Below are 24848 nucleotides of genomic sequence, written 5' to 3' on the forward strand. Positions count from 1 at the left end.
TTATGATTACTTTTGTTATGTAATTTCTAAGACTCAATTTCTCTTGCATATAGTTCCTCTCTTAAGGAAGGTTTATATACAGTGCCTTTTAAAAATATTTCAAAATTGGAAGCATATTTTTGGTTGTAGTAGATACTGAATTATTCTTGCTGGTTTGAATCTTGAAGAAAATGAAATGTAAATTCAGATTAAATTGGTATCTCTTTAGTACCCAGAATATGTTTTTGACATTTGGATACTGCCCATTAAATTCTTTGTATTTGACTGTCTGAAATGTATTCTGAATTTGTGTATCTGTTCTGGGTTTTATTTGAACTGAATTTTAGTTAAGTAAAGAATTTTAGTATACTTTAAGTGGTATTAAATAAAATGAAAAAGACTGATTTCAAATATTAATCTTTTTAGATTCTTTTGCCATATGTTCTTTTCCCAATTTATTTTGTCATATAGTTTCCATTTGTTCAAACGTCATTTTTCTTCAGATTTTTGCTTTATTCTCTTTGCAAGATTATGAAAACTGTCTCTTCTGTAACTGCTTTCAGAGTGAAGCCTGCAAACAGGAAATGCCCAGGTAAAGATGGTTAGATGGCACAAATAGTAAGCACTGCATATTTAAACCTGATGCTTTTGAAATCTTCTTTTTTTAAGTAATCACAAGATATTTGGGAGTTTGGTTGTCCTTCTCAGTACACAGGAAAGAAACGTGAAATTTTGGTTGAGAGAAGTAGCACCATAGGGCATGAGCCAAAAAATGTAGCAGTAGGCAGCCCAAGAGAGGTGTCAAATTCAAACTAATTTCACTTTTGAGAACAAGATTTCCTCTCAGACAGTGCAGCTCAGAGGATAGAAGATAAGCATAGAAAAACAGCATGGGATCTTTGAGGTGGGCACAGGTTAAGGATAAAGAGCAAGGGGATGTGATTTACAGACATAGAGACAGTACGAAACCAGGCCTGGTGCATTGCAGAAATGCTGAAATCTCAAAGTTGAGAGAAGAAAAGGTCAGAGGATTGGCTTCACAGAGAGGCTACAGTAAGTAAAAAGGCCTCTTTTTTATGCAGTAAGATAAGAAGTAGAAGGTACACACACTGGAAAGGAAAAGTGAAACTCTGTTTTTCACAAAGGATATTATTGTATATATAGAAAATTCTTAAGCAGGAAGGAGCAAACTATAGCCTACAGTCTAAATTCAGTCTACCACCTATTTTTGTATCACCTATGACCTAAGATGACTTTTACATTTTTGGGCCATGGGGGGGCAGTGGTAAGTGTAAGATGGCACAACCATGTTGGAAAACAATTTGATAATTTTTTGTAAAGTTAAACACATTTACCCTATGGCCCAGCAGTTCTCCTGGGTCACACCTAAGAATAAAAGAAAAAGTATGTCCACACAAAAACTTGTCTAGAATGTTCATAGCACTGTTATTCACAAATACCCACCAAACTAGAAACCACTTAATTATCTGTCACTGGGTGAATTAATAAATTATATTCATAACATACAACAAGAAAAAAGAACCCAACCATTGATACATGCACCATGGATGAATCTCAAAAATCTGCTGAGTGAAGGAAGTAAGCCAAACATAAAAGAGTACGTACTGATTTACTCCATTGATAGAAATTTTAGAGCAGGCAGAATTAATCTGTAACAACAGAAAGCAAGTCCATGATTGCTGGGGAACAAAGGGAGGGGCAGTACTGCAAAGAAGCTAAGGCAATTTTGCGGGGTGGTGGCATGACCAAAATATTCTGAATCTAATTGGAGCTGTGGCTCGTTGTTGTGTACATTTAGTAAAACCCCTAACGCTGTGCCTTTAAAATGGGTGCATTTTATTGCATGTAAGTTATATCTCAATAAAGTTGACTTTTTAAAACACATTAACATGTTTTTAAGAATCACAGTAAGACCCTGGCTTAAACTAGATTATCGGCTTCCATAGAGCACAGACTCTTGGATAGACACTGTTTTACAAAACTCCAGTATGCAGCTTAATATTGGGCACTCATAAAATATTTTTGAGCAGACACCTGAGTGAAAGAAACAAGACCACACATTAGGCTGAGCGTCGAGGAGTGAAGCTCCGTGAAGTCGGCCAACAAGGCTCAAGACCGGAGTTCAAGTCTGTGCTGAGGCTGGGTGAAGCTGTTGGATATAAAAATTTTGTTTTAGATTTGTTCATCTTAACATTTATTTTTCTATTGGAGAAAAATATGTGCAATGTAATCCACTATGACTAGAATAAAGCCTTTTGAATGGCAGACAGGGATTCAGACAATTAACTGCCTGTGGAGTACTCTGTACAGGAAACAATTTTACTGAAATAACATAAGGAGCCTGTATTGGTAGTTTTAATAAAATCAAGCCTGACTCATCTATTTGAGGACCAGGATTATGGAAATAACATCTTATGCTTCAAGAGTATTTTAAGATTGGAACAGTTATACTCATATTTATGAAAAAACAAAATTTGTGCATAAGTAAAATTTTAACCCTGTGGAGAAATTTAATATTTTTATTTGGCTTCTTTATGTTAACCCTGAAGAAATTCCTTTAGATTATTCAACTTCATAAATGTTAAGTTTCACTCCTCCAGCCACCCAAGATGCCAAAAGGAAAGAAGGCCAAGGGGAAGAAGGTGGCCCTGGCCCCTGTTGTTGCAGAGAAGCAGGAGGCCAAGAAAGTGATGGATCCCCTGTTTGAGAAAAGACCTGAGAATTTTGGCATTGGATAGGACATCTAGCCCAAATGGGATCTTAACCCACTTTGTCAAATGCCCCTGCTACTACATCAGGTTGCAGCAGCAAAGAGCTGTCCTCTATCCAGAGCTGAAAGTGCCTCTTGCGATGAACCAGTTCACCCCGGCCGTGGACCGCCAAGCAGCTACTCAGCTGCTTAAGCTGGCCCATAAGTACTGACCAGAGACAAAGCAAGAGAAGAAGCAGAGACTTGGCCTGGGCTGAGAAGAAAGCTGCCAGCAAAGGGAACATCCCCATTAAGAGACCACCTGTCCTTCGAGTAGGGGTTAACATTGTCACCACCTTTGGAGAACAAGAAGGCTCAGCTGGTGGTGATCGCACATGACATGGATCCCATTGAGCCAGTTGTCTTCCTGCTTGCCTTATGTCCTAAAATGGGGGTCCTTGACTGCATTATCAAGGGGAAGGCAAGCCTGGGATGTCTGTGCATAGGAAGACCCTGCACCACTGTTGCCTTCACACAGGTTAACTTGGAAGACAAAGGAGCTTCGGTTAGCTGGTGGAAACTATCAGGACCAATTACAATGATAGATATGATGAGATCCGCCATCACTGGGGAGGCAGTGTCCTGGGTTCCAAGTCTGTGGCTTGCTTTGCCAAGCTGGAAAGGGCAAACGCTAAAGGACTTGCCACTAAACTGGGTTAAATGTACACGGTTGAGTTTTCTGCACATAAAAATAACAAAAATTCTCCTTCCAAAAATAAATTAAGTTTTCAGTATTATCAGAATGGTACTTTTACAGGGGTGGATCATATTTTATTTCATGTCTAAAAAATAGGCTTGAGTCAGTGTAGTCTGCTTTTTAATCCTTTTAAATTTTATTTATAATATTTTTCAGAGTTTTTGGGAAATCGTTTAGTGGCCCTTCACCTACGCCCCTGTGAGGGACGAGTGCTTTGGTTGAATATGTTCCTTCCCACCGCCACCCCTAGATTTAGACCTCTTTCCCCACCCTTTGCTATTCCACACACTAAGGGCTGCTGGGCCTGCAGGTGGTTAGGTGCCATTGCCCCTCTGCTTGGAATTCAAAACAGAGAACTTTTTTTCTTATAATATTTTAATAAGCAGAGGGAGGAGGTAAAGATTGATTCAACTGAATAGCCCAGTATTTTAATCTTCCGTGTTGACCAGTATGGAAAGGGTCATTAATATTCCAACACTCATATTTTGCATTTATTCACAAAAGTTTAAAAAGTTTTCTTGATTTAATTCCGATGATTTTATTGAAGGGATAGTAGTTTATTTTCATAAAACATGTTTTTTTCCATTATTGCTTAAATTCTGTGAATTTACAGAAACAAAACATTTAGGTTGTGAAAACTACTTAAGATTATGCCTAATAAATGCATGGTTGTAGTTTTAAAATTATTCAACCTAATGTAAGTAATATTTTATCTCATAGCAGTGTCGCTAATGGGAGTAGTATTGTCCAACATAGGAGGGTCAGGCACAGACGGAAGATCAAAATCTCACTCTCCTGAGGCTCCATCTATGGCTCTGCTCTCTAAAGAAGGTTACATTTATAGATCTCTCAGAATAAAACATTACTTTTCTGCCAAGAAGAAGTTAAACAATCTATTAATGTGGAAAAATGTTGCTTCAAACACAGAAGTCTATTTGTAATGTGTATCAAAGTGGATTCATGAATGAATCTATAGCAGTATTTTGCCAGAGTTGTAAGAATGTCACTTATAGCTTACAAAGTCATAACTTAATAAAAAGAAAATATGGACATGTGTGTTAATGTTTTTAAAGGCAAGCTTACTGAGGTATAATTTATGTAAAATAAAATTTAATGAGTTTTGACAAATGAATGTAGTCATGTAACCATAATCAATATATACAACATTTTCATCACCCCAGAAAATGTTCTGTAAAGCAGTTTTCAAACGGTGGTTGTGAGTCCTTGGACAAACAGTGTGACCCAACAAGCACTTTACCACCAGGGCTGACTCCCTGATGGGGTGTGATTTCTAGTCCTGCTGTTTGGCTGCACTCTCAGCAAAGGTGGCAACTTGGGATCATGTTAATGTAAGACACTGTCTGTTCTGATAGACTGGTGGGGCCTGTCTACTTCTCAGACTTAATGGAGAATTCCTGCAATTCTATGTCCCAGTGAGAAACAGTGTTTGAAACTTTTTATCACTCAAGTTCTCAAACTGTGGATTTTACATTTGTGCAGGATTGGACATTTATTGATTTAGGTACATTTACGAAGTAATATTTATTGTTAGTTTAGAATTACAAAATGAATAATTTGAGAGAAAGCTTATAAATGTCTGGGAAACAAATGTGGTGCCCTTCCGGGAATTTACAACCTAGGCAACCTGGCCTTTTAAAGATACACATAACAGAGAAAGAAGACTACATTGCCTTGCTGTGTTATTTATGTTTTTTAATATAAAATATGTGACCATATATTCAAATTACTATGCATGAATCACCATTTTTAGAATAAGATTTTACAAATACAGTTACTTAGTTGTCATTATTATTTTCACTATTAAGTATTAATTATTATTCTGTAATGTAACTCTGATTTGCTTTTAGGCTTACGTGGAAAAGAATAGTAAGAATCCTATCAGACCTGTGGTCTTTGGGTCAACTTTATAAAAGTAATTAGAGCTATTAAATAGGCACACAGTTTTATTTGGCCATTAAAGCTCTAGACAGAAAACCCCAAACTGTTTGCCTCTAGGTTGTTAGAGAAAAAAACATTAATTAGCATTACCATTGCTTCTCTGAATCTTCCCTCTTCCCTGTAGTGGACAGTGCAAGTGGGGGTGCCAGTTGCTAGACTGTGAAGCGATTCCCAAGGTAATTGATCATATTGACAGAAACTTAGCTGCCTGTTGCTCTACTAAAACCATCTCAGTTAGCATTCCCCCTTCTGGTATTCAATCACCCTCGCCCTTCCTCAACCTAAAGACTGAAACATAACCAAGAGTTAAAAGAGATAACAGCCATTTATTTACTCTAACTCCTAAGGGAAAATAGTATTTTCCTAAAGAGTAATTTCTAAAATAAAGGCATATCTGTTTCTAAAATATTTTTACTTTATGCAGAAGTATTTTTTAAATCTTTGCAACTATTTATATTTGCTAATTTACCAGTACTTATTCTACTTAGCTGTACCATCAACCTCATTTTTAAAATTATGTTTAAAAGTTAATTATACTTATTCGTAAGTGAAAAAATCAAAATAAGTATCTCACATTTACATATTAGCTTCAGAAAAGTAATTTTGCAGCTTTTGCAATATTAAGTAGTAATTTTGAAACAACTATAACTTTTTTATAGACAGGATAGTCTTATTATAAATTAATATGCTGTCTCTCTAAACTGATTGTGGGAGGCAGAATAATGCTCTCCTCCCCAGAGATTTATTATCCCAACGCTTGGAGCCTATAAACGTTATCTTATTTCAAAACTTTATGGGTGTAAATAAGTTAAAAAATCATGAGATGGGGAGATTATCCTGGATTATCCAGGTGAGTTCTAAATGCCATCACAAGTATCTGTCTATGAGAGAGGCAGAGAGAGACACACGAGAAGGCTCTGTGAAGGTGGAGGCAGGGATTGGAGTGATGTGGCTGCAAGCCAGGGAATGCCAGCTGTCCCCAGAGCCTGTAAGGGGCAAAGAAGAGGTTTTTCCCTACAGCCTCTGGAATGAGTACGTCCCAGCTTACACCTTGATTTCGGCCCAGTGAAAATGATTTCTGATTTCTGGTTTCTAGAACTGTGAGAATAAATTTTTGTTGTTCTATTCCACCAGGTTTGTGGTGATTCGTTATAGCAGCCATAGGATGCTACTACAGAGTTTGGCATCAGGAAGGGGAGTCTGCTGTAACAAATACCTAAAAATGTGGAATTGCTGTGGAATTGGATAATGGGTAGAGTCTGGAATAATTTTTAGCCCCATGATAGGGAAAGCCTAGATTGCTTTAAACAAAACGTTGGTAGAAATGTGGGTATTAAAGGTGGTTCTGGTGAGAGCTCAGAAGGAAATGAGGAATACGTAATTGGAAACTAGAGGAAAGAAAGGTGATTCTTAATATTTACAGGCATACCTTGGTGATACTGGTTCAGTACTAGACCACCGCAATAAAGCTAATATTCCAATAAAGTGAGACATAAATTTTTTTGGTTTCCCAGTGCACATAAAAGTTATGTTTACACTATACTGTAGTCTATTACCTTATGTCTAAAAACCAATGTACATGCGTTATGTCTAAAAACCAATGTACATGCCTTAATTTAAAACTGTATTGCTAAAAATGCTAGTGAAATAAGCACATATTGTTGGAAAAAAATGTGCCAGTAGACTTGCTCAACTCAGGGTTTCCACAGACCTTCAATTTGTAAAAGATGCGATAGCCACAGAGAGTAATGAAGCGAAGTGCAGTGAAACAAGATATGCCAATACTGGTAGAAAACTTAGCTGAATTGTCTCTCCCAGTCCTGTAGAAAGCATGTAAATGATGGACTTGGATATTTAGGTAAAGAGATTTCCAAGCAGAGCGTAGAAGGTACAGCCTGGTTTCTTCTTGCTGCTAATAACAAAATGTGAGAGGAAAAACAAATCAAGGGGAAACCTCTCAAGCAAAAATGAATCACAGTTTGATAATTTGGAAAATTCTCAGCCTATCCAGGTTGCAAAAAATGGTAAAATTAGGAGATTCACTTTTAGGAAAGTGCTCTAGAGAGAACGCCAAGGATGTAGATAACCTTTGACTAGTGCTGAAGATATCAGGCATGTGACTCCGCAGAAATCAGGAGTGGAGATGAAATTTTCCAGGGAAGATCTGTGGATGACCCACTTGTTTAATGGCACAAATACACAGGAAACCCACAAGTTTTTTGAAAATGTTGTATCAGCAAAAATGCTGCCAGCTTGAACTGAAAAGGACAGAGACAGGTTGAAATATAGGAAAGCTGTTAGACTTCCCAAACTGTACAGGCTTGTCAAAACAGTGCTCAGTTGCAAATATGTGGTCCCCTTAAAGAAAAGGAAAAATGACTTCAAGGATACAGCTTTGGCCTAGAGTCATAGTCTCAGACTTTAAACCTTGTCCCGCTGGGTTTTGAAATTATTTGGGAAAGGTGGCTCCTTTATTCTTTACATTTTTTTTTCCTTTTGGAATGGGAGTGTCATAACTATTATCCTATGTCTATCCCACCACTGTATTTTGGAAGCAGATAACTTATCTTTTAGCTTCACAGAATCAATAGTTGGAGAAGAATTTTGCTCCAGGATGTATTATACTCAAGTCTCCCCTGTACCTGATTTGGATGTTTAGATGATGAGATTTGGGATTTTTGAGTGATGAAATTTATGTGAGATTTGACCCTTCTAGTTGATGCTGTAATGGTTTGAGACTTTTGGAGATGTTGGAATGGGTTGCATGTATTTGGGACATGGGACAGACATGAATTTATTTCTTTAACATCTGGTTATTCTCCTGCCCTCTGTGTTCTCAAGCTAAGTAGGTGGGGTCAGCATTCTCCTTGCCCCCCGGTTGTTGCCTGCCTTTACACGTCCCTGGCTCCTTTGAGACTTCCATGCCTGGCTTTACCATGCTTCCTCCTCTCTCCTGACATTCAGTAGCCTTCTGGCACTCACTGTCATTCGCTGAAGATTCAGCTCATGGCCACCTTCTCCAGTTCACCTCCTGCTGTGGGTCTCCAGGTGACTTCAGTATCTACCTAGACAGCCCATCCAGGCTCTGGTAGGGCAGTCCCTTGGCTTTCTCATCTTGCATTTCCTTTAGACATTATATTCTTAGGCCACAAACTCCTGTCCTTCAGTTCACTTTCTTAGTATTCACTCAGAAATAATTATTATTATTATTTTTTTTTTTTTTGAGACGGAGTCTAGCTCTGTTGCCCAGGCTGGAGTGCAGTGGTGCAATCTTGGCTCACTGCAAGCTCCGCCTTCCAGGTTCACACCATTCTCCTGTCTCAGCCTCCCGAGTAGCTGGGACTACAGGTGCCCGCCACCATGCCAGGCTAATTTTTTGTATTTTTAGTAAAGACGGGGTTTCACTGTGTTAGCCAGGATGGTCTCGATCTCCTGACCTCGTGATCCGCCTGCGTCAGCCTCCCAAAGTGCTGGGATTGCAGGCGTGAGCCACTGCGCCCTGCCAGAAATGATTCTTCATCAAAAATTGCTATCCATTGGTCTTGCCACTTTCTCTATACCTCAAGCAACCCTACTCTTAATATACCAAACTCTTACGGCCCAAGAATAGGGAAGGTAGTTTCTTTAGATAAAAATCAAAATGCCACACCTAGAAGAAAGGTACAAAGATGTTAGGTAGCAAGAACAGCAGGGGTCCACTACATAATACTTGCACAGTGCATGTTTCTGTTATGATTATTTGCTATTTACTTGTTTAAATAATCCTGAATATTCTAATATGAATAGCTTCCAAAGAATATATCTCTTCTTAAAAGCCATGTTTAAACATTAGTACATGTTTTATTTAGTGAAATGATATTTTCTAATTGTTCTCCAGGTAGTTGAGGAAGCTTCCCAGGCTCCTAAGAAGGCAACATGCAACATCAGCAAAAATGATCTGTACCAATCCCTAGTGACCTGTACCAGTCTTATGTAAATTATGAGTGCTTATAAAGTAATTAAGGTTTGAGTTGTTCAGTCCGTTCTTTTTCTCTGAAGCCTGTCTGTGGTGTCTTTGTAATTGTGAGCCAGCTATTCTCCTGCCTAGCAGGCTTTAGGGACACCACCTTTCCCATACATGTGTATATTAAAGAAATGTTAGCTCATCTTAATAATAAAGCAAAATGTAATTAGATCTGCTACAGAAACATCATACTCTGCACTACAAATATAAGTGTAAATAATTTGGAGTAGACACACACCACTGGATAGCTCTATTAGCATCAATAACTAAGAATTGGTTGTATAAAAATAGCCTTACATAAATGCTTCTCTGTTCTTTGATTTAAATATTTCTGAAATGTTTTACTGCCTGCAACACAATTTATACCCAAGTGTGGGAAATGTTTGTTAAATGTCTTGTATTTGGATGTGAAGATGGATGGTAATAGTACTTCACACTCATCTGGATTTGCCTTTGGTTGATTTTCTGATTGTCATGGGTTTTGTCCATGCCACCTGTATCCTCACCTGGTCTCACTTTTGATCATGATATAATTCGTAGGGTGGCTGACAGTTTGAGTTGTACAACCCACAGACATAAACTGGTTTTTTCTTCTGTGGCCTATTTTTTTGTTTGTTCTCAAAATACCATCCCAGCTGAGTTAATAGGCCAAGTCCAAGTATAATCTACTCTGAGACTGAGCTTGGTTTTTTCCATAGCTTGCTTATTTTGGTCACTGCTGATCTAACTCAAGATACTTTAAAACTCTTGATCAAATTCTAAGGACAGGGCATTTATATTCTGTCATAATTAACAGTGAACGATTAAAGACATTTATGAATTAGAGCCAAGATTCAATATTTACTAGTGATAAAGGGCAATGTCTTATTTATCACATTATTACACTGTGACATTGGCAAGTTTTGAAATAGCTTAAAGATGTCTGCCTTATTTTCTAAATAAGAGGGAAATGGGCTACAAACAAACACATCTCAGTGTGATTGTATGTGTGAAAAATATCTTCATATCGGGTAGTTTAGTTTTTAAAGTTCATTCAGTACACTAATGGCTTACAATTTAGTTTAACAGCTCGGTGTGTTGTAATCAAGAGTGTGAAGAGGCAATCAAATACTTCTCTGAGATTCTGCTCCCCAAAGAATTCCTGGCAAGCCTGTTGCTATGGTGCAGTCTCACCTGGGACTTGTTTGGTATCTTTCTCAATTAGATATATTGACAAAAATGAGCTTAAAAACAGAACTCATAGAAAATCCAGAATGGAGAAATACGGATAGATAAATGAAGCATTGTGGCTCTTTCTCTCTTTTTTTTTTTTTTTAACTTGTACTTACCAATTCTTGTTTCTGATCCCAGGAGTCTTAAGATATGCCAAAGATACTACTTTCTCACTGTAACGGATGCTGGATGTCATAGAAGGCACTGTTTATCAGATGAGAAACTGTGAAGATGATCATCTCTAAAACCCTGCAAACTAGATTTTCTGCACCCACAGCTGCTTCCCTGGAACTTTGGCAGCTGTGATAATTGTTGCAGACCATCCCTGTTTGGTACTGCCATTGTATTTAGATAATGTCAAAGAAAGGCTTATGAGTCAGTTATTAAATTGAAGGAGATGATCACGTCAGAGTAAAGCCAGGTAGTGAGACCTCTGTTGGATTACTTAGGCTTATATTATTTTTAAGAGATTATTATCTTGCCCCCTCCACCTTGAAATCAATTTCATTTCCACACCCTGAAGATCATGGCATGGGGCTGAAAGACAGAGTGATAAAGAGCATCAACTCTGGAGTCACACCTTCTAACTGCATATCCCTGCCATGTCATCTACTTGGTGTAGCCTTAGACATTCATGATCTACACCTCTAAAATGAGATTAATAGTAATATATTCCTCGTGGGGTTATTGTAGAATTTAAATAAAAGATGCCTCTCCCATAGAAATTATTCACTGGGTGTTGGCTATATTCACACTTTTGATATGCATAGAAAGCCTTAGTATATACTATGTGGCTCATTGTATGCACTTAATGAATAATAGCCAGTAATACTATTATCATGATACCTTACATGAGTCTGTGTCAGATGTAGACTTACTGAAAACACAGGAGGAAATGTAAGGGAATGGCTAAAATTTGACTTTATCATAAATTGTAGTTGTATGAATGAATGAGCTGGGGTAGTGAACCAGAAAACATCAAGTCATTCTATATACTGTCCTGAATTATATACATGCAAGGTTTCTGGGACTAAAGTCATCCTAGCAGCCTTTGCAGTGAAAATGTTGCTGTTCTTAAATCCAGCTAAGTACATGCTATTTTAAAACACAGTGTTTTTCAAGTGAACTTAATGTGTGCTGCTGAGAAAATGCCAAGTTTTGCCAGATCCTGTATTTTTACCTGTTGTTTGATATTTATGTCATTCATAACATAATACTATTAAAATGCTTTGTTTTTATTGTAATGCTTTAGTTCATTTTAAAAGATAAGTGTCACAGATGTATAGTAAAGTGATAACTTAGGTTTAGATCCAAGGAGAATGAGAGATGGAACAGGACCTGTTTACGTTTGTGTGTGGAAGGTGATGGAGCTATCTAAGAGGATGCTTGGGTTTGAAGAAGGCAGCTGGTTACAGATTGCTAGAATTTGTGAGAGTAAACTGATGTTCTGCATGTGTGTACCTTGAGGTGATTGTGGATCATCCCCAAGAAGAGACCCATTAGATAGCTGGACACATGGACTTGGACCTTGGTCAGGAAGATCTAGGTCAAAGTTGTCGATATGAGATCCACAACCACATAGTTGTTACTTGAAGCCATGGGAGCAGCAGAGGCATGAAGAACACAGGCCCTAGGGTGATCCTCAGGGAATCTAGTCCCCATTCTTTCCCCTGTGCACCATATGACCATGGCTCTATCTCCTCTGAATAATAAGTGTTAACAGTTCCTACTTCATAGGCACAATTACAGAGATATCATTGCCTTTCAATCAATTTGATTTAAAGGCTTAGAATAACAGGTAGCACATAGTACATGCTTTTAGTACATTTCGGCCGATGCTACTATCACTATTATTATTGAGGGACTCACCCAGGGAAAATGTCTAGAGCAAGTAGAAAACTGGAAAAAGCAGTATTTACAAGAGGTGGGGAAGGAACAGGATTCTATGAAGGAGACAGTATAGCCAGAGGAGGCAGGGTGGGCAAAAAATAGAAGGTGATATCTGTGAAGCCAAAGGAAGGATGAATGTCAAGGAGGAAGTCATCAGTGATTTTGAAGGATGCAGAAAGGTCAGGGTAGATAGATGGAGAACAGAAAAGTGCCTTTTGGATGTAGCCACCAAGAAATGGTTAGTAACCTTGGAGAGAACAGTTGGTACAGAGTTTAGAGCAGCAGCCAGATGACAGAGTTGAAGAGAAAATGAGACCTGAATAAGTGGAGAGCCCTTGAAATAAGTGTGTCTGGAAAGGGAAACAGGAACTGTCTGAAGTAAAGGACTGGGGAATTGGGGTGCTGTCAAGAGAGTGATGCGATGGTCAGGCTGAATATGGAAATACATAAAGAGGAGAAGGTGAAGGTGTCATGGGTACAGGGAGTGGGTACTATTGCAGGCTGTGGAAGTTCTGAGTAGTTTAGGAGGTCCCCAAGCAAAATGAGTAAGGGAGGATCAGGGTCAGTGCTTCAGTAGAAGGTTTCCCTTTGGAAACCACGGTGCCTCCTGAGTGAATGGGAGGACTTTGGAAAAAGCTGGCCACAGCTACATTGGTGGTACTTCAGAGAAAAGTCTCACCTGGTATGTAGGATGTTGGGTTAGTTTTTTCTCTTCATCTTTTGTGGGAAACCGCAGACTCTCATGAATGGAAGGCCTTGTCTGTTTTTAGATTTCAGGCTCCAGTGTGAGTTGTAAGGATCCTAGGATATTTCTTGTGAAGAGCAAAAATTGCCCAGTGAAGTATTGATTCCTTTATGGTTCCTGGCCCTGTTCACAGATCCACTTTTCTCGCCACTAGTCCCAAGAGAATTGGGATCAACCCATAGCTTGCTCTGTGGTGATCCTTTCTACAGCCCCTTTAATTCACTTTGCTGATGAATTCAGAAGGTTGTGGGTCTCGGTGGTAGACTGTGTTGTCCTTTCTTTCCAAAGGGACCCAGTCTTCTAACCCTGTTAACACACATGCCTGAGGGAGGCAGGCAGGCACTGTCCCAGGCATTAAGGTTGATGATATCCCTGGGGAGGGTATGGGCCAGTGTGCTGGCCTCTGCTTACAGGAGCCTCAAGCCCTACGCAGGAACCCTGACCTAGCCTGGCACTCTGCGGAGGACTTACACCAAGCATTCAGTTTAGAGATGGCATTCTCTTGCAATTGCGGCTTCCTGCTTCTGGAAGGACAGAAGACAGTTATGGAAGTAAGCTTGATCTTTTCCTGTGTATTAACTGGAGGTAGGGAATTGTTACCATGAAAACTGCCCAGAGTACCTTCAGAAAACAAGGGCAGAGTTTTTTTTGTTTTTTAGTGTTTTCATAAAATAGACAAAGGAAAGGAATTTCTTAAAAGAGTAATATGATGGGAAATACTGAATTAAGACTTTGGGTTGCTTTAAATCAGTATCTGAATATTAAAGAGCAACACAAATGTACCCACCATCCCTGTACTGGCCCTTTTTTTTTTGAGGCAGAGTCTCACTCTTTCTCCCAGGCTGGAGTGCAGTGGCGCGATCTTGGCTCACTGCAACCTCCATCTCCTGGATTCAAGTGATTCTCCTGCCTCAGCGTCCCGAGTAGCTGGGATTACAGTCATGCACCACCACGCCTGGCTAATTTTTGTATTTTTAGTAGAGAAAGGGTTTCACCATGTTGGCCAGGGTGGTCTTGAACTCCTGGCCTCAAGTGATCTGCCCTCCTCAGCCTCCCAAAGTGCTAGGATTACAGGCGTGAGCCACCGTGCCTGGCTGGCATTGATATTTTGCTATCTGCAGGCTGGCTATATAAAGAAATCATGCATTTTAATTTTGTAAGGGTTGTAAGAGTGCCTAATTTGTGTAAATTTCTTGCTTTGAAATTAAATAAATAGAGCATTATGGCTGTAGCAAAAAGGAACCACTATTTTTCTCACTCATTTGTCATGAGTGGTGCTTCAGCCACTACTTCCTTCTTGTGATTTTATGTAAAAAAAAAATGGATCTTCTGTATATGAAGTTTAAGAGGAAAGAACAAAAAATGACATTGAGAACAAAAAAGGGTTATTGAGAACAGAATATGATCAGAAGATAAAAGAGGTAAATTATTAACTAAGTGTCATGATAACATTGTACAATGCTAAGAGCTTAGTAAAAATGGAATCCAAGGCATCTGTCTATGGCAGAAATTACTTAATTTTTTTTTCTCTACTTAGGAAATGAAAATATATTTCCAAATTTTTGGCAAGTGAACCTCTTAGGAAAGAACGTGGTATATTAAAAAAATAAAAATTTATATTTTACTTTATCATGCCTAACTCTTTAAAAAATAGCTCACAGCATTTAGCATTTTGTTCATGTACTTCACACCCAACTCCTCTGATGTGGTTGTTACTCCCATTTTACAAGTGATTAAACTGGGGTTTACAGATGTTTAAGTGACTTGTCTAATATTATATAGCTAGTAAGTGACAGAGCCTAGCGTCAGATCCAAGTTGATACCAAAATCCTATAATCCTTCCATATTTGTTCTAATCTTTGTCAAATCGTATGCCTTTAAAGAGGCTTACAAGTTGTTAAACTACAGGACAGGTGGCCTACCGGCTGAATCTGGCCCTCGCCTGTTTTTTATAGCCTGCAAGCTAAGAATGTTTTATACAATTTTTAATGGTTAAAAAATAATCAAAGGCAGAATATTTGATGACGCCTGAAAATTAGATGAAATCAAATTTCAGTTTCCATATATATTATAAAATCTTACTGGAACACAGGCACACTCGTCATTTATGTTTATGGCTGCTTTTGCACTCCCAGGTCAAAGGTGAGTAGTTGTGACACAGACCTGTGCTATGGTCCACAAAGCCTAAAATATTTACTGTGTATCTGGCCTTTTCTAGAAAAAGTTTGCCAACTGCTGCTCTAGGATATTAGAACAAAAATCTGTGATAAGAAGTTTTGTATGGGGCCCGAAAGCTTGTTAAAGCTCTCACACACCTTAGGTCTTTTGATCATTTCAGCAGCCAGCAATGCAGATGGTGTTGCCTTGTTGAACCAATGGGGAATGGATGCCAAGCCCTGTGGTCTCATCAGCACCATGCAGTTTGTTTATGTTCACTGACTTTCTAGGTGCCTACTTTTATTTGGCATCTTAAAACAGGGATTTGTTTTGACCCTTCAGCTTGAATGTTTTAATCCAATTCCCTGACTTCCTTGAAGAGAAACTTCATATCTAATTTAGACCACCTCTGCTCTGTGGCCCCAGGCCGACTTCCCAGGTTACATGAGTGCTCGTCGCACTTTGTTATGATTGTGGAGCGCAGGCACTGGTGTTGCCTCTGCTTTTCCCTCTTTCTCTCTACCCATCGCAGTGTTTAAACAAATGAATGTATAATCAAGTCAGTCTTTTTTTTTTTTTAATTTAAGTTCTAGGGTACATGTGCACAACATGCTGGTTTGTTACATAGGTATACATGTGACATGTTGGTTTGCTGCATCCATCAACATTAGGTATTTCTCCCAATGCCATCCCTCCCCCCAGCCCCCCACCCCCCGACAGGCCCCGGTGTGTGATGCTCCCCGCCCTGTGTCCAAGTGTTCTCATAATCAAGTCAGTCGTTTAAATTACAGAAGAAAAAGTCATAGAACTGTTTTCATCCTGGGAGATAAGGCCTTTCACTATTGAATTTTGTGAAAGTTAGTAGTTTCTTGATGGGAAAAGAAGCCAGGAGAGGAGAAAATAGAAATATGAATTTTAAGATATGTTTTGTTGCAGAATTTGGCTTAAGTTTTGTATAGACTTTTGGGACTTTAAAAAAATACATAAAAATAACCCAAGTTGTTTTTAATGACAAGTTGTTTCTATTGGCAGTCCATTGACAGATGAATGGATAAACAAAATGTGGCATATATATTGCGATGGAATATTTATCCTTAAAAAGGAAGTAAATTCTGTAAACCTTGAGGACATTATGCTAAGTGAAATAATGCCAATCACAAAAAGACAAATAGTATATACATAATTTCATTTATACAAGGTGCCTAGAGTAGTCGAATTCATAGAGACAGAAAGCACAGTGGTGGTTGCCAGAGGCTGGGTAGAAGAGGTAACTGGGAGTTGTTTTTTCAGTTTGGGATGATGAAAAAGTTCTGGAGATGGATGATGGTGATGGTTGCACAACAATGTGAATATACTTAAAGCCCTGTACAATTAAAAATGGTTAAAGTGTTACATTTTGTTAGCATATATTTTGTCACAGTAAAAATATATACATATATCATCACCTGTTTAAAATATCATGTCTACTTTGAATACCTAATCAAAATTATGTATTACAAAAGAATGATTACTCTTTCAAACTATTTGTTTATCAAATGAAAAATTTACTATGTGATACATGGTATCGAAGTGATTCAGCCCTAACATGATTCAAAATTTAAAGTTAATTGGGTCCTCTTGCGTGTTTTATTTTCAAAGCATATTTATATAAAATTTTTAAGAATGATTAGGTAGATATAAGATTACGGTTGATTATCAGTTGCTCTTTCCTTCCTTACTGATTAGCAATTTATGGAAGAAATTAATTAAAACCGTAGAGTAAGCCAAAAAGCATCTTTCTAAAGATACCAGTTCTTTATTAAATCCTGTGGAGTTTCCAGAGAAATACATACAGTAGAATCTATTAAAGCAAACAGTTCATTTTACAGCATATATATTTAAGATGTTATATATTTCATGCCCTTCATGAAAATTAATTCTTAAAACATTTTCTTTGATAGGTCAGAATTGGAACATTTAACTATTAGTAAAAATTGGGATTGTAGTGTGGTTTTACGTAAGCAAACAACTCTTACTCTATTTTATTTACAAAAATTAATAACAAAAATAAATGCCCAAGGTAGAGGGAATTAAATACTCAGAAGTATAAAATGAAAAGTAAGCCACCCTACAGGCATCCAGTCCCATTTCCCAAAGGTTAAAACTTCCTCTAAAGTTAAGTTTTTTGAGTATACATCAAGAAAAAATTTATTTCTGCATATTCTAGCATAGATGTCTTTTTAAAAACAACTGCCTGGCTTTATTTTCCTGCATAATCTTTCTTAAACATATTCTGTATCAGCACATTTGGATTTACTTCAATCCTTTCTAGCAATTGCATGGAATCCTATTATGTAGATGTATATATATATTTAGCTATTCCCATTTTGATGATTATTGGGTTGTTTCCAGTTTTATTTGATTGGTTGGTTTTGTGTACTTTTCCAAGTATATCACAACCTCAGCATTGGAACTAATGGGACAACAGGTAGGTATGTAATATTTACCTTTTTTTTTGGTATTGTTAAATTGCCCCACCAAGAGTTTGTACTAGTGTACATTCCTGCTACACCATTTCTTCATAGCATCACCAATGCTGTGTACTTTCGAATCTGATGTGTTGTTTCCAATTGTTAGAATAGGCCATAATAGGTTATTGGAATATTATTGAACACTGTTAGCATACTTTAATGGCTTCAGAAAAGCAAAAATATCAGTTGTCCACTCAATCAGAATACCACGTTCGAGGAATTGACAGTTTCCTCAGCAGGTTTGTCCTGGTACATGCAAATAATACTTCGTGTCTTTTCTTTTCTTTCTGCTTAATTTTCTGAATTCAATTTTAATTACAGAAATTGTGTTGTAACAAGTGATACAATTAAAAGAGATAATATAAAAGTGTAAATAATTGTAAATATAAAATAATATAATAATGTAATATAAAAGTATAAATAGATTGGTCACCCTTCTGAGGTGACCAATCATACTGATCTGCTGTGTCTCATTCACAGTTGTGTCTGTGTTCAAACAAACCTATGTAGGCTTTGGGTTTTTAAATTTTGTTGTGTTTTACTCAGTTCTTCAGTTGACTTTTTAACATAATCATATATAATGGTCCTTCTGAAGCAACAGATAAGAGTCCAACTCATTCTTTTGAATAAGGATATAGTATGCTGTAGAATGGAGATGCCATCGTTTGTTACAATATTACTATGTGGATGGACATTCAAATTGTTTCAAATGATGCTGCAATTACTGTTTAATATATACCATTGCTTTTATTTCTGTAGACTAGATTTCCAAGTGGGGATGGCAGGGCATGAGGAATATGGCTTTTTAATTTTAATAGGTATTACCAGATTGTTTCCTCAAAGTGTTATAGCAGATCCCACTCCCATGAACAGTACGTGTAAGTGCCCATTTCCCCCCAGTTCCTCACCAGCCCTGGCTGTTAACCGCTTTTTTAAATGTTTGCCAGTATGATGAAAAATGACATCTCATTGTTATTTGATTTTCTTTTTCCTTACTAATGAAAGTGAGCAATGTGTGCATGTGTGTGTATAGTTTGAGGTGGTAATCTAGCTTTGTTTTCTCTACTTAACAACAGCAGTACTTTTCCCATTGAATGAAATTTCCCCTTTGTCATTAGTTAAGTTCCCATGTATACTTGCATCTGGCTCTTTAATTCTTATTAAATTGCAGGGTTTTATTTGATTTGAGAAGAATGTTTTGAAGTAATAAAGTCAATTACAGTTCTAAATATAACCTTTAGCAACAGAAAATGACATAACCTTAATTTTTCAGCTTCCTATAATGGAAAGAGCAAGAATTTAGAATTTCAGTCCAACTCTTCACTTACTAATTCGTGTGACCTTGGGCAAGTCATTTACTTTGCCCCTCCCATTTTAGGATTGCTCAATTCAAAACTGTGTTGCTTTTTAAGGATTAGAGAAAATATAAATAGAGTGCCCAACCCACAGATGGCATTCATTCAGTACTGCCCGATATTATTATTTTTGTTATGACTTAAAAGGAAAGTTAGACATTTGATATTAAATTGTGCCCATTCCAAACATAAGCAAATATATTTCTTCATAAGGGAGGATGTATTTTATGCAAGAGAAAAAGAATTCTCAATATGGCAATTTAAAGATTCTTTTGGTCAAATAAATTAGTCTGAACAACGTATATATTCAAATCTGGAACTTCTTTTTCTTCTTCTTTTTTCCTTTTTTTTTTTTTTTTCCTTTTCTGCCCTATAGATCTAACACAAGTAAGAAGTAACATTACTTGTCTGCTCTTTTTTTGGTAAACAGGGAGTATGCAGATATTCAATAAGGGTAACGAAAAATAAAATTGCTTTTATATATAGGTGGAAGGAGCCAAATGTTAGGGAGAAAGCAGGAGAGTCGGAGAAAAACAGGGACATCAAATATGGAAGCACAAGGAACAGAGCACTTGTGGACCCAAAGACTGAAATCAGGGCTTTATTCTGGATGTGTATGCACTGAGGTTGGACGCAGCCTGTAGCTAGATGTGCCTGAGCTCTCCTACAGCTTTAATATTCCTTATAGGTTAGATATGGCTTATGGTTATCAATAATACATTGATCTTTCTTAACCTTCTTTCCGAAGAAGCCCACGATAATTTCTGGAAGTTTAGAAAGGAGTGATGATATTATTGAAACCATACAGATAACATGAAAAAAGTTAAGACAAAAATTTTGAACACTTGTACCTCTTGAGCCAGCTACCCAGCATTCCCAAGGAACCATTTAATTGACTAGGGCATAACTAATAAATATGTTTTCTAATTCTAGTACCCCTGCCACCCACACACACATTAAGCCACAGAATATCTGCGGACAATTGTAAAAGTAAACCTAGTATAGTCTTAAGAAAAAAATCTTCCTGTGTTAGGTGGTATTTGTTTTCATTCTCATTAGATTTCATTAACTTGCTAGCCAAACCTTAAATTAGTAATTTTTAAAATAAGTCTCCTATTCTGTAGTGCAATTTATTACATCTACTGAGGAATAGAAGGTTAAGTTTATTTAGCCTTGTTGTTTCTCTTATCATTTTTATATTTTTTACTGTGTTTTCATTAACTAGTCTACGTAGAGGAAGGAGAAAATTGGTCATTTATTCTTTTAGTTTTCCATTTCAGCAAATAATGATTTATGCGGACTATTATCATATACTGTGTAGTCAATTAACCCCCAAATAAGCATCTAACATTAGGTGATATGCATCATTGGTCTTAATAATTTTGAAATATATATATATAAAACCCAAATTGTTCATGTTAAGTCATTACTAGTTTTTGTAATTTCTTAAGGTTTAAAGTAATAGCTAATCAAATATTCAAGGCATTACATTTTAAAGAAAATCTCACCATGTTTTTTATATTAATTCTACCAAATAACTACCTTGTTGGAAAATGATAGCAATGGTTGTCATTGACAACTACAGCTTACACTCCTCCAACTATCCATTTTCCTTGTGATACCTCTTTTCCTCAATATTTATTTGACTACTAAGGCTTTCCCAAATGTAAGGAATTTTAAACATAAATTAATAAAACCTCAACTACAAGACTGAACTAGAATTATTTATATCTGCAAACACACACACACACAGCACACATATCTATACATCCTATCTATACATTCTACATTTTAGGAGAAAAAGTAAATGAAAATAAATGCCATTCCCAGTTCAACAATTAAATGTCAGTAGTCTGTTCAATGAGTTTTCAAAAGTGGCATGCTAAGGCTGGAAACTCCTGGTTTTTTGATATGCAGGACGTGATGTCTGAGAGATCAAGATGTCAGGGAGGAAGGGGAGGCTGTAATAAGGGAGTAAATCATAAAATCACCCTGAATTACTTACCAGAGTTTTCTGGGTTTGTTGTTGTTGTTGTTTTTGCAAAGAGCTGGAGAGATACTAAGATGAGTGAAATATAGATTCCACTCTTCTTTAAGAGGAGTCCTGTTTAGTAAATTGAGAAGATGTCACAGAACACTATACCCTAGGGCTGGATAAAGAACTGTAGGTGTTTATGGGAGAGTGTTTCAAGTGGATGGAACAAATGAGGAAAAGCCTTGAGTGGTGTGTATAGGAAGCCATAAATAATTCTGTGTAGGTGCATGAAAGGAAGTGATAGGAGACCACAAAAAGATATTTGGGGGCCAGACTATACAGAAGGTCTTAAAACAAGGCTGAGTTGGCTTTTTATAAGTAGTTTTATGGGTTGGGTTGGGTAGAGCGTGGTGCGCAGTGGTTAACCCATGGGGTTAGGACAGATTGAGATGATTTCAAATCTTGGTTTTGAGTGACCATAGGCAAGTCAGTTCTCTATGAAATGAGGCTGACTCTGACTCCCTCACAGGCTGATTATGTGGAGTTCATGAAGAAATACTTGGCACTTAGCGTAGAGCCTGGAGCCCAGTAAACCTTTTGTAAAACATAGAGATTATTGGTGAGTAGTATTGAACGTTGGCAAACATATCAGGAAAAAATGTAAGCAGTGGAAGCAGGACCCCACACCACCATGGCAGGGAGAAGACTTAATGAGTTTTTGCAGTAGTCTAAATTAATGTGAACCTGAAGGAATAGTGAGGAAGGAAATGGATTCAGCCTATGCTAAAGATGTGAACTGACAGAATTTGGGAAATCACTTAATGTGCAAGGAATGGGATAAGAGAAAGGGAGGAAATGACAAAAGGATGAGGACACTTACAGTTTGAGCCTGAATGAAAGAGGGATGGTGGTTCCATTAGCACAGTGGTTTTCAACCTTCCGTGTGCATGAGAATCTCCTGGAGGACTTGTTTAAACAGGTTTCTGGCTGGGCATGGTGGCTCACATCTGTAATCCCAGCATTTTGGGAGGCCGAGGCAGCAGATCACCTGAGGTCAGGAGTTCAAGACCAGCCTGGCCAACATGGTGAAACCCCTTCTCTACTAAAAATACAAAAAATATATAGCTGGGTGTGGTGGCACACACCTGTAATCTCAGCTACTTGGGAAGCTGAGGCAGGAGAATCACTTGAACCCGGGAGGCAGAGGTTGCAGTGAGCTGAGATCGTGCCATTGCACTCCAGCCTGGGCAACAAGAGCTAAACTCCATCTACGAAAGAAAGAAAAACACAGGTTTCTAAACCCCACCCCTCTGACTTTAAGAAGTTCCCAGGTGGTGCTGATGTTGCTGGTTCAGGGACCACACTTTGAGAACTACTCCGTGCAGAAATAGACAACACAGTAGGTGGGGAAGTATGGGAGAGGAGAGAGGTGTGTCTGGGTAAGGCCATGGTTTACCCATCATTTAGGTGTAGCTACATAGCAGACCACTGAAAATTCAATTAGAGATAGTGAATTTGGACATTACCACTGTACATGGACCCGTGTGATGGTCATATTGTCAAGTGAGAGGCTGAAGAGCCAAGGGCAAGTTACTCAGTGAGTCACTGTTGAGTAGACAGTCTTTTAAGAAGCCATCGGTTCACACCTGTAATCCCAGCACTTTGGGAGGCTGAGGCAGGTGGATCACCTGAGGTCTGGAGTTCACAACCAGCCTGGCCAACATAGTGAAACCCCATCTCTACTAAAAATAAAAAATTAGCCAGGCTTGGTGGCACATACCTGTAATCCCAACTACTCAGGAGGCTGAGGCACAATAATCGCTTGAACCCCGGAGGCAGAGGTTGCAGTGAGCCAAGATCATGCCACTACACTCCAGCCTGGGCGACAGAGTGAGAATCTTTCTCCAAAAAAAAGCCATCCGTGTGGGTGGGGTATGTAGGAAAAGCATGAGACTCTACCTGTCTTCTTTGAAGTTCTCATCCACACATGGTTCCAAGTAAAAAGCTTTTCTTGTGTATTTTTAATGTACCCCCAAACCTCTCCTCCTTTATTTTGGTTTCCTAATAGAGGAGCTAAGTTACAGATGAGAGCCTGAGTCTTAGAATATAAACTTCAAGCATCTGGTAAACTTTACTATTTTCTCTCTGCTTCATTAAAACTGGAGGAAAGATGTCAACTAGAACTTGGTTTATTCCTGTTTTGGTGGTAGGATAAAACAACAAAGATCTTAATATTGTTCATCTCCTATTAGAATATTAGCTAGTAAGGCAAGAAATTAGATGGGTAGCTGTATGTTGCACTTTTCTTTGATCGTGAGATCTCAAGGTAACAGGCAATGGGCATAGCATAGGGCAACGAATCCCACAGAGCTGTCCTAATAATGTATATCCTTCATGTCTTCAAAGTGATGCAATGTCAGCAGTTTCCATTTGAAGGCTAACCCTTTGTAGTGCCCTTCCCTATGTAAGTATTCAGTCTTGACAAAAGTGATTAAAATTTTGTTTTCCAATTTGTAAAAAATATTTTAAATGTAGACTATAGTATAGTACCTCTTAATTCAGCCTTCCCTAAATACAACAAATAAACTTTTTTTTCAGTGTTGCCTAAGTTGTGTTCTCAAAATGATAGTTCCTTGAGATGTTAATAGTTGTTCTTTGCAAAAGAAAAAGTGTGCTTAGTGTTCAATAAATCAAAGAAGTGCTGGGTTAAACAAAGGTAATCTGACTTCCTACTGGTAGACTTCTCAGAACTTTTAATATGGTAGGGTTGCTGTGACTCTCCAAGATTTAGAATCTCCTGGGCAGCATTTCCCAAATCTACTTGACCCGGAACCCTTCCTTTAAGGGAATATCTGTTAACATCCTGTAGGACACTGGTGTTCTCAGTTTGAGAAACATAATTTATCTTTGATTCTTAATTTCCTTTTAACAAAGGAAGCTAGCCAGTACAATGATGATTGACATCATATGCCCAGCATTTCTATAATTAATTATACATTGATTTAGGGACTACCAAGTAGACATAATAATGGTTTATCAGTTATTAAGTAAATTGTGGTAGATGGTCAGGACATTTGATTATCTCTGTCAAATTTGCTGGTTATCTTAAGGATGAGAAGTTCAAGGACCTTTGTAAATATGACTACTTTGGTTTTTGCACCAGCCTAGGTTACAGGACAATATTTAGGATGTTTTTGGGGGATTTCTTGGTAGTTCTTAAATATTTGTTTGTAAAATAGTTTCCTAAACTTGGCCCAAAGATATGATCATGACCATAATTGACTCATCTTTTTGATGTGGGAAATGGGGAGAAATGCTATAGCATGTCCTGGGAACAGGACATAAACCTGCCCAATCCCCTCTATCTTAAAAATCTAGTCAGTGATAATTAGTATTTTAGTAATATAAAACTCTCAGTATACTAAGGCAGAAAGTAGATTTTTTTGAAAGATTTTCAACCAACAACAATTGAAATAAAAATGCTTGCTTTCTTAACCAGTAATTCTATCACATAAGGACCATCTGTTTTCTTCTTTCAATATAACTGGAACTAAGTACTTTCCTGCTGAGATACATAGTCATGGAAAGGTATGTTG

At 37.7% G+C, this 24848-nt stretch overlaps 1 protein-coding gene and 1 pseudogene across 14 annotated transcripts in view; both read left to right on the top strand.

The window, feature by feature from the left end:
• Window positions 1-24848, top strand: part of PKP4 (plakophilin 4) — a 224478-nt gene that overhangs the window by 88864 nt on the left and 110766 nt on the right. The gene's annotated exons all lie outside the window — the stretch shown is intronic.
• Window positions 2589-3459, top strand: RPL7AP22 (ribosomal protein L7a pseudogene 22; annotated as a pseudogene).

The sequence above is a fragment of the Homo sapiens genome, chromosome 2 (genome assembly GCF_000001405.40).
Source record: "Homo sapiens chromosome 2, GRCh38.p14 Primary Assembly".
NCBI lineage: Eukaryota > Metazoa > Chordata > Mammalia > Primates > Hominidae > Homo > Homo sapiens.